We start from the raw sequence: 12,129 nt of genomic DNA, 5'->3' as shown, positions 1-12,129 counted from the left end.
TCCTCCTTAGGGAAGTGCCATTGCACAATCTCCTGGCAATTTCCAATGTTAGTTTCAAGGCCTGTGAGGGCCAAGGGGCTCTCTCATGGCTAGGACTGCAGGAGTTCACAGTGGGAATATGGACTACTGAGTGTATCACTTACTCTTTCCCCTTATTAAGGAGTCTCTCTTGACTCCAAGGCAATCTGGCTGTCCAGGTTGCCACACTTCCTTCTCCTTCCTTGCTTTAGGTATTTCCTGTCACTTTTCTGTTTAATTCAGTATTCTCTTAGATGATCTATTTGACATGTGATTACCTACTCTGTTTTGGTTCTTCTTAGTGGAGAAGGCAAGTATGAAATGTCTCTAGTCAGCCATCTTGAAGACCCAGATCCCCAAGCAATCCTCAACAAAATACTAGCAAACAAAATTCAACAGCACGTTAAAAAGATGTGATCAAGTAGATTTATACCAAGGAGGCAAGGATGACTTAAAACACACAAATCAATGAACATGATGTATCACATCAATGGAATGAAGGACAAATACCATATGACCATCTCAATAAGTGTAGAAAAAGTACTTTAGAAAACTCAATATTCTTTCGTGATAAAAACTATCAACAAACTATGCATAAAAGGAACATATTTCAAAATAATGAAGGGTGTATATGACAGACCCACAGCTAACATCATACTGAGTTGGGAAAAGCTGAAAGCTTTTCCTTTAAAAACTGGAACAAGACAAGGGTGCCCAAATTCATCATTCCTATTCAATATAATACTGGAGGTCCTAGCCAGAGCAATTAGACAAGTGAAAGAAATAAAAGGCATCAGAATTAGAAAAGAGGAAGTTGAATTTTCACTCTTTGCAAATGACATGATCTTATATTAGGAAAACCAAAATACTCTACAAAAAATTTCTATAGCTGATAAGCAAACTCAGTAAAGTTGCAGGGTAAAAAGTCAACATACGAAAATCAGTAGTGTTTCTACATACCAATAAAAGAATAGCTGAAAAAGAAATCAAGAAGGCAATCCCATTTATAATAGCAACAAAAATAAAAAATACCTAGGAATACATTTAACCAAGGAGGTAAAATATCTTTACAAGAAAAACTACAAAGCACTGATGAAAGAAACTGAAGAAAACATAAATAAATGGAAAGACATCCCATGCTTATGGATTCAAAGAATTGATATCATTAAAATGATCATATTTCCCAAAGCAATGTACAGACTCAACGCAATCTCTATCAAATACCAATGGCATTTTTTCACAGAAATATAAAAAGAAATCCTAAAATTCTTGTGGAATCAAAAAAGAGCCTCAATAGCCAAAACAATACTGAGCAAAAAGAACAAATCACACTACCTGTAGCCTTGCAAAATATACTGCAAGGCTCTAGTAACCAAAATAGCTTGGTATTTTAATAAAAATTGACACATAGACCAGTGGAACTGAATAGAGCACCCAGAAAATAATTCCATATATTTATGACCAACTTATTTTCAACAAAGGCTCCAAGAAGAAACACTGAAAAATGGACATTCTGTTTAATAAATGACAGTAGGAAAATTGGATATCCATAAGCAGAAGAATGAAATTGGACCCCATCTTTCACCATATATAAAAATATACTCAAGATAGGTGAAAGACTTAAGTGCAGGACCCAAAACTGTAAAACTACTAGAAGAAATCATAGGTAAAACACTTCAAGACGTTGGTCTAGGCAAAGATTTTATGTCAAAACCTCAAAAACACAAACAACTGAAGCAAACGTAGACAAATGGGACTATATCAAACTCAAAAACTTCTACACAGCAAGGAAACAATCAACAGAATGAAGAGAAAACCTGTTGAATGGAAGAAAATATTTGCAAACTATTCATCCAACAAGGAACTAATATTGAGAATTCATAAGGAACTCAAACAACTCAATCAACAGTGAAAAAAAGATCCTATTAAAAAGTGGGCAAAGAACATAAATAGACAACAGGTACGTGAAGAAAATCCTCAACATCACTATGCAACAGGGAAATTCAAATCAAAACCACAATGTGATATCATCCTACCCCAAATAGAATGGCTATCATTAAAAAGACAGAAAAATACCAGATGCTGGCGAGGATGTGGAAAAAAGAGAACTCTTATACATTTTTGTTGTTAATATGAATTAGTTCAATCACTGCGGAAAACAGTATGGAGACACCTCAAAAAACTAAAAATAAAACTACCATATGATTCAGTAATCCCATTAGTGGAGAGCCATCCAAAGGAAAAGAAATCAATATATCAAAGGGATATATGTACTTACATGTTTATTGCAGCACTATTCACAATAGCAAGGACATGGAATCAATCTAAGTGTCCATTGGTGGACAAATGGATAATAAAAATGTAGCATATATACATAATAAAATGCTATTCACCCATAAAAAGAATGGAATCATGTTATTTGCAGCAACATGGATAGAACTAGAGGTCACTTTGTTAAGTAAAAAAAACCCAGGCACAAAAACACAAATTGTACATGTTCTCACTCATATGTAGGACCTAAAAAGCTTGATCACATGGAGATGGAGAATAGAATGGTAGATACAAGCGGCTGAGAAGGTTGTGAAGATAGGATGAAGAAACAAAGAAGGTTGGTGATTGAGTGCAAACTTACAGTGAGATAGAAGAAAAAAAATTTCAATATTAAACAGTCGATTAGGGTGACTGTAGTTAGCAACAACCTATTATGTATTTCAAAGTAGCTAGAACACAATCATTACACATTCTATGCATGTAAAAAACACATATACCCCATAAATACATAAAATATTATATATTAATAAAAGGAAAAACCATATTAAAAGATAGAAAAGTAAAAAGGAGATGAAAAGAGAAAGTAAAATAGCCCCTGGCTTTGGAGAACTTTTACAGTAGCAGGGGTGACATTTGAGTAGCCACGTGAGAGATCCATACAAGTAAACCAATGGAAGACAGTGTTGCAGGCAAGCAGGAATGAGCCCCACACAGGCATAGTCAGAGGGCTTCTTATAAGAAGTGGAACTGAACTGCACAGCATGGATATTCGTTGAGAGCCTCTTCAGATCAATGAAAGCATGGATAGAATTAAGATGGTTGAAGAAAGAGGGAATGAGGGCAAATGTTGGGATGCCTGGATAGAGAGTCTTCTGCCTAAGGTCAGAATCATCCTGGGCCCTGATGGACAGTGATGAGGGATCTGGAGTCCTAGATTAGAGGGGTCAGCTACAAAGCAGTTAGAGAGGAAACTCAAGGGGGCTGAGTATAAAATTTCTTGAATTCCAGGTGGGGTAATTTAGACTTGACATGTTAGATAAGGGTGAAATGTGCCTGATTATACAATAATTATTTATTACATGCTTACTTGGTGCCAGGACTGTTCTGTCTATTGGGATGAAAATGATTAAGAATGTCAGTGAGCCAGAAGGGAGGGTGTACCTCAGAGTGAGGGGAGTTTTAACTAAATGGCAGGCTGGGGAACATCGACGGATATTTCTGAGGGTGAGGATCTGGATCTACCTGGTGACTACAGGAATATAGAGGAAGAAGAAAAAATAAGAGATTATTTTTCTTCCAAAGAATGAATCAGCAGGTCTTAGTGGTAGACTGCTAAACTTGTTAAAGACCAGGAAGGAGGAATCATGTGAAATGTGTCCTTCTCTTTCTCATTTCCCTGAGCTGAGTAGCAATAACAGCAACAACAACAACAACAAACAGCTAAAAGGTAGAGGTTCCAAGCCACTAAACCTGTTATTTTATGCTATGATAACTCCCTCTACAGCAGTATCACCACACTGCATGACCCTGGGAAGCAGAGAGAAGAACTTGCAGATGTTCACTTAGTGGTACCCACTGGAACCTGAGAAACCATTTAGAAGCTTATCATCCCCTGCCCTCATGAAAGCATGTGCTGCTGCAGCCCTGCTTTTGTTTTCTAGAACAAACAGAGGAAGAGGATGGACAAGAATCCAAGATTAAGTTGTTCTTCATTCATTCAATCAATGTTTATTAAGGGTCACCTTTGTGCAAAACATCAGCAACTGTATGTACCTAAGAGCTAATGATCAAAGTTTCTAGGTGCTGCAAGATTCTGAAGACATTTGCAAATGCCTTGTGCTATAGCCATATTTGTAACCGTAGTGCTTGATCCATAGGAACATTTGATCTGGGCTTGATAAATGGACACACAGATGAAGGAAGAAACAAATGAAGTATGGCACCTATGAAGGCTGGAGGACTCAGGGACAACTCCTGGATGAGATGAGCTGTGATGAGGACACAAAGGGTAAGCAAGAGTTAGATGGACAGGATTAAAATTCTACAGGTGCATTAGAGCCACAGAAACAGAGAGGTCAGGATACATTTAGCCTCTGTAGGGGATAGGCAAAGTTGTCTAATGAATCGTTGCCTGAATTCCTTATATATACTCATATTCAGCAAACGTGGTCTATGTCTTATCTGGTCTTCCTTACAAGCCCCCATATCCCCTGAGTGATGACAAAGAGACTAAAGTTTAATCTACCATGATATAAAACATGGCTTATTCTAAGGTAATGTCCCGAATTTGGGGATGGTACTCAGTCTCTCCTATTCTTTCCTCTTCTTTTCTGAGATAATGCTTGGGTGTGTGGCAGGGTGGGAGTGAGGGACTCACTTGGCTCTAGGATGGGATAGTGAAGAAGTGTCGATGTTGCCTTTGGATTCTCTTTTGGCCTCCAGTGATGAAGCCAGTGGCTAGTGTCACCCCCTGGGTTTGATCAAGGGCAGTAGTCCTTTCTAGCTGACTTCCCTGGCCTGCCTGGTAGACCCCTCTGTTTCTGTTTCTGCCACAGCTTCCATCTTCCCACCTAACCTCTGCTCTGAGTCCCCTTCCCTGGTCATAGTGAGCCCCATGGCAGGCCTTTTGACAGCCAGCTCAGCAGCCTTTCTTGTCTCACTGTTGAGGCTGCAGGTGGGGTGCTATGGGGACATCTGGGTCCCATCTGTGTCACTGAAACTCAAGGAGACCCACCTAAGCTAAGCCCTGAAGTGTGTTTACACTTCACCGTGCTGCATTACCAAATCAGTGTTGCTGTGGCGGTAACCCAGGGGCAGCCTGTGAAACATCTCCTTGGAGCAGAGCTCCCTTGTGGTAAGAGAGAAAAACCAGAGGGCTAATGCACATGTACCCCTTTGAGCCAAATCCAACTTCCTTTTTAACTCTGTTCTTCTCTCTGTGCCTTCTTTTTTCCCATCACCCCCTAAATGCCCTGCAAAATAACTTCCTTCTTCAGTACAGCAGTGACTCTCACAGCTTAGCTGTTATAGGCCACTGGGTTCCTTTCTCTAGACTCTGAGAAAATTCCATGAACAGAGATGTTTAGGCTTAATTCTTGCTAGACTTAAAAGGGACACCACGAAATTCAGAAAATCACATCTCAAGACAACATCACTTGTTTAGATGCAAATTCAATTATTCTTTCTACCAACAATAGCAGACTTTTAACTCTTTCTTACTTCTGTTAAAAATAAAAAAATCTCATTATCCTCCAGGGCAAAGGATCTCCTGGAAAAATTTTTTAAAAAGAAAAACATAGAACAGCACATTGAAACACATGACAGATGTTTCACAAGCTTCTATCTTCAAAGGAGCCCGGCATTATTCTGCAGAAGATGAAACCAAGGCACAGAACTGTAAAGAGACTTGCTCAAGGCCACACAGTTCACAGGCCCAGCTCTTCACTTCTAGGTCTCTTGCACCTTCCATAACATCATAGTATATCTAAAGTGAAGACCACAATTGGGAGCTCAGGAAAATAGGACCAGATAGGAAGAGCAGGGCTGGAAACTAGGCAGAGAAGTTAAGAATGAATAAGGCAGGAATGGAAGGCTATGGAAGATTTATAGGGAAAGGGATGGGGGTCAGGATAGAATCAGTGTTTAAGGATAATTTCCCAGAGATCAGCTGCAGGAGGTTTCTTTTCCTTACCACACGGGGGAAGGAAGCTGCTTGTTGCAGAACATCTCAGGAGGAGTGTTTCCGGAGATCTCTCCTCCTGGGCTCCTTCTCTGTGAATCCCTTGCTGATGAGCAGCACAGGCAAACCTGCAGAGAGGGTCTGAAGCCACCCAGTCCCTTCCTTACTCAGGGTGGGGTGGAGTGGAGCTGTGGAAAGACCCTCTGTCCTGCTCAGGGACCTCAGCTGCTCCTCAGCTTTCACAGTGATAACCCATTCTCCCTGGCGCCTTGGTGCAGCAGAGGAGGCAAGCACTATATAAATGCTAAACAGATGAGGCCGTGCTTGTCCCAGGAATAAATACACCATCCACTCCTGCTGTCAGTTCCGTACCTTTCATGAACACAGACACATCTCCCAGGAAGGGGAAAATGGTGGTGTCACTTCTCTATTTATTTTTGTGATTTTATCTCAATCATAGCAGCAGAATGTTGCTGCTTGTTCTATAGCGGAATGTTCTATTTTTTGTTGGTTTTTTCTTTTTTTTTGGTGTTATTGATTTATTTTTTTTTTTCAGAAGGACTTTATGGTTTGTTATTTTAATTTCCTGAATTCACATTCAGAAAATGGGATGTTTTCTTCTGATTGCCCCTCCAAAATAACAACAATAATAACCATCATTTGTATAGTGCCCTCACAGGCATTATCTCATAAAAATTTATTAGACCTGGACTCAGATGAAATGGATTCCTGTCTTGATTTCACCGTCTACTTGCTGTGTGACCTTGAATACATGACTTGGCCTCTCTGAGTCCTAGTTGATTCATTTGTATAATGAGCATCGTGAGAGACCTGTTTTTCCTAGCACAAATGCTTGTGCGAGGAGTAAATGGGATAATTTATATGAAAACTTGAGATAGGTATTGATTTTTAGATGAGAAATTTGAGGCACAGAGAAGCTAAGTGGCTTACACCAAGTGCTGTAGCTTATAAGCAGCCCAGGCTACATATAAACACAGGTCTTCTGATAACAAGTGATCTATCCATGAACCTGCAGCTTTGAGTGATGACTGAGACTTGGAGATGGACATGGAAGCCAATATTACAAAATGGAATCACAGTTAGCATTTATTAACACTACATGTCAGCCACTCTTCAAAGAATTTTTCTGAATGAATTCATCTAGTCATAATAACCCTATAAAGCTATCTCATGTTCATTTTACAGAGATTAAGTCATTTCCCCAAGATCACAGGAGCAGTAAGTGGAGTCATCTAAATTTGCACACAGACTGACTGCAGGACCTGTGTCATTAACCACTACCTTATCCTGCTTCTCTCAGATCACTCCTGTTCCATGCTACTGCAGGTCAGAGCGGATCATTTTCCAAATCAGCTCCAGGGGAGGTTGGGACTCACCTGGCCTCTAGGAACCTTTAAAAGAAGGAAGAGACTGGGGTGCAGGAGTATTGGGTCATTTCTCTGTGGAAACTCACTTCAAGGTCTGTCCTGGGGCTTAACTCTCTAGGTCTGTGATTCTCACACTTGCCCACATCAGAATCTCTTGGAGGGCTTGTTACAAGGCAGATGACTGGGCTCCATCCCTGGAACTTCCATTCTTTCAACCTGGGGTGGGACCTGAGAGTATGCATTTCTAACAAATTCTTAGGTGACGTGGATGCTGCTACCCAGGGACGGCATTCTGGCAAACAGTACCCAAAATGACAAACCATGGGACGACATCTGGGTCCCAGGTTCTGTATAAGAAAGAACTCGATCTGGACCCTAGAAAAGCCAAAAGCCCATTCGCGGGGTCTCTGTGAAAATGTTTAGCGCTCAAAAGAGCTGGGGGTGTCCTCCCCGGGCCACAGCTCCTCCGCAAGGGCGCTCACTGGGGCTGGCCGTGAACTGCGGGCTGAGGGCAATGGGCTCTGCATTATGGATGGATGAGCTCCGAAGCCCCCGCTGCAGATAAAGTAAACACACAGCCGCTGCAGCCGCGGGAAAGCCCGGGACCCAGCCACCCAGCCACCCAGCCCTCCCAGACAGAACTTTTCCTTCAGCTGTTGTTGTTTTCCTCTGCTGCTGCCTTCTCATCGCCTTGTACTGACAATAGTCGTAAATAACCGCAGTGCTGTAGAGAAATCATTTTAACAGGAGAGAGTCAAATAAATACATTAGACCTGACAGCTTAACTACGCGGAGTCCATTTGTATGTGGTGGCCGGCAGCTTCCCGAGGCTGACGGGGAACACAGAAGCCACAAGAGGGAGCGCCGAGCTCGCTGTGAGTCAGGCCGACGGCGGGCGGCCTCCCGAGCCCACCCCAAGCCCTGGAGTGGAGGCTTCCGCCTATGCTGAAACAAAGCTTTCAGGCTCCGACTTGCGTGGAAAAATAATGCCAACTCCTGCCTCCGTTCCCCAAGCCTCCAGAGTAATGATTTGGGGTTTAACTCGGCTGGGGGTTTAGGGTTACAGCTGGGGTTGAAGTGGTAGGACCAGTCTCCTGGCCCTGTGTCCCCCCCAACGAGGAGTGGAAGAGTCACCAGTCACAGCAGAAGCACCAGATGTTCATGCGTGTGCCACCCACATGTTCCTTTTCTGGCCCTGGTTTCCAGCAATGGTAGTTTCTGCCTAGCTCAGCTGATCCGGCAGATCGTGGAGCTTCTAAGCTCGATTCTCTGATTCCCAGGAGTATTTATCTGCCTCTTTTCCTCCCTGTGGGTGAGAGCCAAGGTGTCCTGATTCTCAGGCTGCTCACTCTTTCAGGAAGTGCTGAGGCTCGGTCACCAGGAAGGGCATGATAGACTCAGGGTACCAACTTCCTCTGGGCAAGCAAGCATCCATGGAGTGGATTCACAGAGTCTCGTGGGCTGGCTGTGCTCGGCCTGAAGCCCTCTGCTTCCTCCTTGTCAGGGCTCAGCAGCCTGTGAACTAGAGGGCTTCTTTTGTGACTGAACTGCACACCAGCGAGTGGGAGAGGAGCTCTCGGTGCAGAGTTGCCTATCTTGGGTTCAAACCTGCTGGCACCCAAACATCTGGAGGTCAGGGATGGGGAGGGCAGTGGGAGAGGCAGTCTTTGCATCCTCCGAGTTCTCACAGAGCTGGGTCTTCAGAAGGGGACAGAGAAACATAACCAAATGCTCTGCTGGCTAGTTGGTGGAGGTTTGATTTGTCTTTGCCGTCTTGCTAGGTCCCAGACTTCAAACTCCTTGTCAGCATGGACTGGATCTTAGTTGCTATTAAAAACCTAGAACCTAGCCGAATACTCACTACGTGGCAGTCTTTTTGTCAGTGCTTGATTATAGGGGACACATTTTAGAAATACTTACTAGTTGTCTTTGAGTCTGTGGTCATGAGGAGAATATTTCATATTCTCTAAAGGAAGTGTAGATATGACAGGTCAGATATAAAGAAACACTTGCTGACAATAAAATTATTAGATGCTATGGTAAATTCCGAAGTAGATTGTTGTCCGTATCTTGGGGACAGATTGGATCAGACCATGTCATTGTCTCCTTGAAGCTGGTAATATTTCCCTGTGGCTTTGAATGGAGCTCATGGTGGAGTGGGCTCCTATAGAACTGTCTGCTCAGCACTATCTTTTTTTTTTTTTAATTTGAGGATTTGACCCTCTGTCTATCCATAGGCTGCAGAATAGTAGCTGCATGAAGACATCCCTCCCCCAGTGCCCAGTTTTCTTATATTGGTTGAGGACTTGGCAAAGGACCCATGCTGGTTTGAACATTGTAATGCCCCATGTCCATAGCAGATTGTTCCATAGATACCTGACATAACCTAAGTTGAGTTAAATTCTTCCCTGGGAATTTTGGCACTGAAATGGGTAAAAAGAAGTCACTTTCTCTTTGCATTCCTTGAATGTAAGACTGAAAGCCAGGGTGCGTTGGCAGCCATGTTTCTCATTTTGTGGACAAGAAAAGTAAATGAGAAAGCATTTAAACAACACACGTACATATCATGCAGAGAAAAAGACAGGCAGAGAGAGAGAGAGAGAGGAGCAGAAATTTGTGATATCTAGATGACTGGATTACTGACAATATGCAAGTCTCTGCTTCCAGTTTTTTCCTTTTTTTTTTTTGAGACGGAGTCCCGCTCTGTCGCCCGGGCTGGAGTGCAGTGGTGCTACCTCTGCTCACTACAAGCTCTGCCTCCTGGGTTCACACCATTCTCCTGCCTCAGCCTCCCAAGTAGCTGGGACTACCGGCGCCCGCCACCATGCCCAACTAATTTTTTTTTTTTTTTTTTGCATTTTTAGTAGAGACAGGGTTTCACCATGTTGGCCAGGATGGTCTCGATCTCCTGACCTTGTGATCCACCCGCCTCAGCCTCCCAAAGTGCTGGGATTACAGGCGTGAGCCACCATGCCCGGCCTGCTTCCAGTTGTTTCTGAAGCCTAACTGTATCCTTCTTCCTGAGTCCTGTGAGACATCTTAGCACTTCTATAATAGTTTTTCTTAACAATGAGAACAACTCTCCCTGTCCCAAACCTGAGCTCCAGCCTGGGTATTGTTACTTGCAATTAAAAGGACTCGGCTAACTGTAGCATATAAAGCAATTGACAGTAAGATCAACTGTTGTAAAACAGTTGTAAAACCAACTTTTACAACTCTTATTTTCAATATTCTTCAACAGAATTTATCATCGCTCAAAACAGGCTGAGCAATTTTCTGCTTTTGTACTACGTGTATGTCTTCTCTGCCCAGAATTCTACAGAATTTCTTTATCTCCTTCAGCCTTTTATAAGATGTCCCCTGTCCTCTGAAGCTGCCCCAGACACTCAGAACAGATGCATTTGTTCCCTTAGCACTTCGCTCAGTCCTTGTAGAACATGTTCTTCTGTACTGGGATGGCAGAATTGTCTTCAGCACACGATTAGGATCTTGTCAAGAGTGGGAGCCATGCCCTTGTCATCCTTGCTTCCGTAATGCCTGACACATTCTAAACACAGAGGAGAGTTTGTGCAATGAGTATGAGGCTTATGTCCAAAAGCAGGGAAAGGTCCTTGTGGCCAGTAATTCCCAAAGGGTTGGATGGTAATGTGGAGGTAGGGAGGGAGGATGTATCGCAGAAACAAAGTGAACACAGCCTAGTCAATATCTCCATCTGTTTTCCTTCTTTTTTAGCCCCATTTAACTTGCACCCCTTTGTTCAACACACACACACACACACACACACACACACACACACTTCTCGCCACTCCCCTCTCGTGGCCCTAGCCCCGACCCAGTATTTAGAAGTGGCTCACACCTCGGTGTCTTCTACGATATTACACTCAGAGTCTTCGCCAAGCTCTAGTCGCCAGAGGGAACCCTTCAAACTCAAAGGCAAAAGAGAAAATTTAAAAAAAGGTTAGGGAGAGAGAGGAAAGAGGTGAGACAGAAGTAATATCCAATTTCAACATTTTGTACTTTGCCATTTAAACTTCCAGAGGCAACAACGATACAATTTGTATGTTTTGTATCATGCCTGCTTCCTTGTGGGAGTTTCATAAATTGATGATAACACAGCACATTTCTTTTAAGTCCTTAGACATTCAGTCTTTATTGCTTTATAAAGTCTGCTTTGGGCACAGATGAAATGAAACTGGTGAGATTTTGCTCTGTCCATTCTGCAAGTTCCATCACAGAATTTGCACCTGCTATGCAACTTGCATTCTGAAATAGCAAGTCATGTTACCAGAGGTATCTGAGACTGGCACTGAGAGGCCTGGGACAGTGGGTGACCCAGGGAGACTGAACAGCATCATCTCAGTGGCCGGTTGGAGAGGAAGGGACTTGATTAAACATCAGTCTAAGGGAACAGCCATGGCTTTCTGTAGCCTCCACATGCAGTGAGGATTTTCGGAAAATTATGCAAAATTCATTTCCCTCCAGCCCTATAATAAAATATATGCAATGTGTAACTAGAGAGTTTCTAATGTGGAAGTCCTAACACTCACCTGCTCTATTTAATTATTGGAATACAATGTGGTTTTTTTCCACAGCTGAAGAGCTGCACTAATAGGAATATTACATTGATGGACAAACTCACTCTCCAAGCCAATACATTTTTTGCTTTTATGCTGATTTTATGAAATACAAACGTGTGCCATTTGTAGTTCACAACAGAAAACGATGAGCTCTGCAATGTATCACTATCTGCCTATGCAGAGTTGGCCTCTTAAA

General features: G+C 42.6%; 1 long non-coding RNA gene across 1 annotated transcript in view, besides 1 other annotated feature; it reads left to right on the top strand.

The window, feature by feature from the left end:
* Positions 1–4,619, top strand: part of LOC105372896 (uncharacterized) — a 55,293-nt gene extending 50,674 nt beyond the window's left edge. The window contains exon 5 of the long non-coding RNA XR_922530.4: positions 4,167–4,619. This is a non-coding gene — a long non-coding RNA (uncharacterized LOC105372896). The remainder of the gene's footprint in view (positions 1–4,166) is intronic.
* Positions 8,104–8,163: an enhancer, noted in NCBI's record as "active region_2467". NCBI's record gives its function as "activates an Ori minimal core promoter by ATAC-STARR-seq in GM12878 lymphoblastoid cells {active_cell/tissue: GM12878}" and the evidence as "EXISTENCE:reporter gene assay evidence [ECO:0000049][PMID:35858748]".

Source organism: Homo sapiens, chromosome 1 (assembly GCF_000001405.40).
Source record: "Homo sapiens chromosome 1, GRCh38.p14 Primary Assembly".
NCBI lineage: Eukaryota > Metazoa > Chordata > Mammalia > Primates > Hominidae > Homo > Homo sapiens.
The sequence above is the reverse complement of the archived record's forward strand: the minus strand, read 5'-3'. Positions and strand labels throughout refer to the sequence as shown.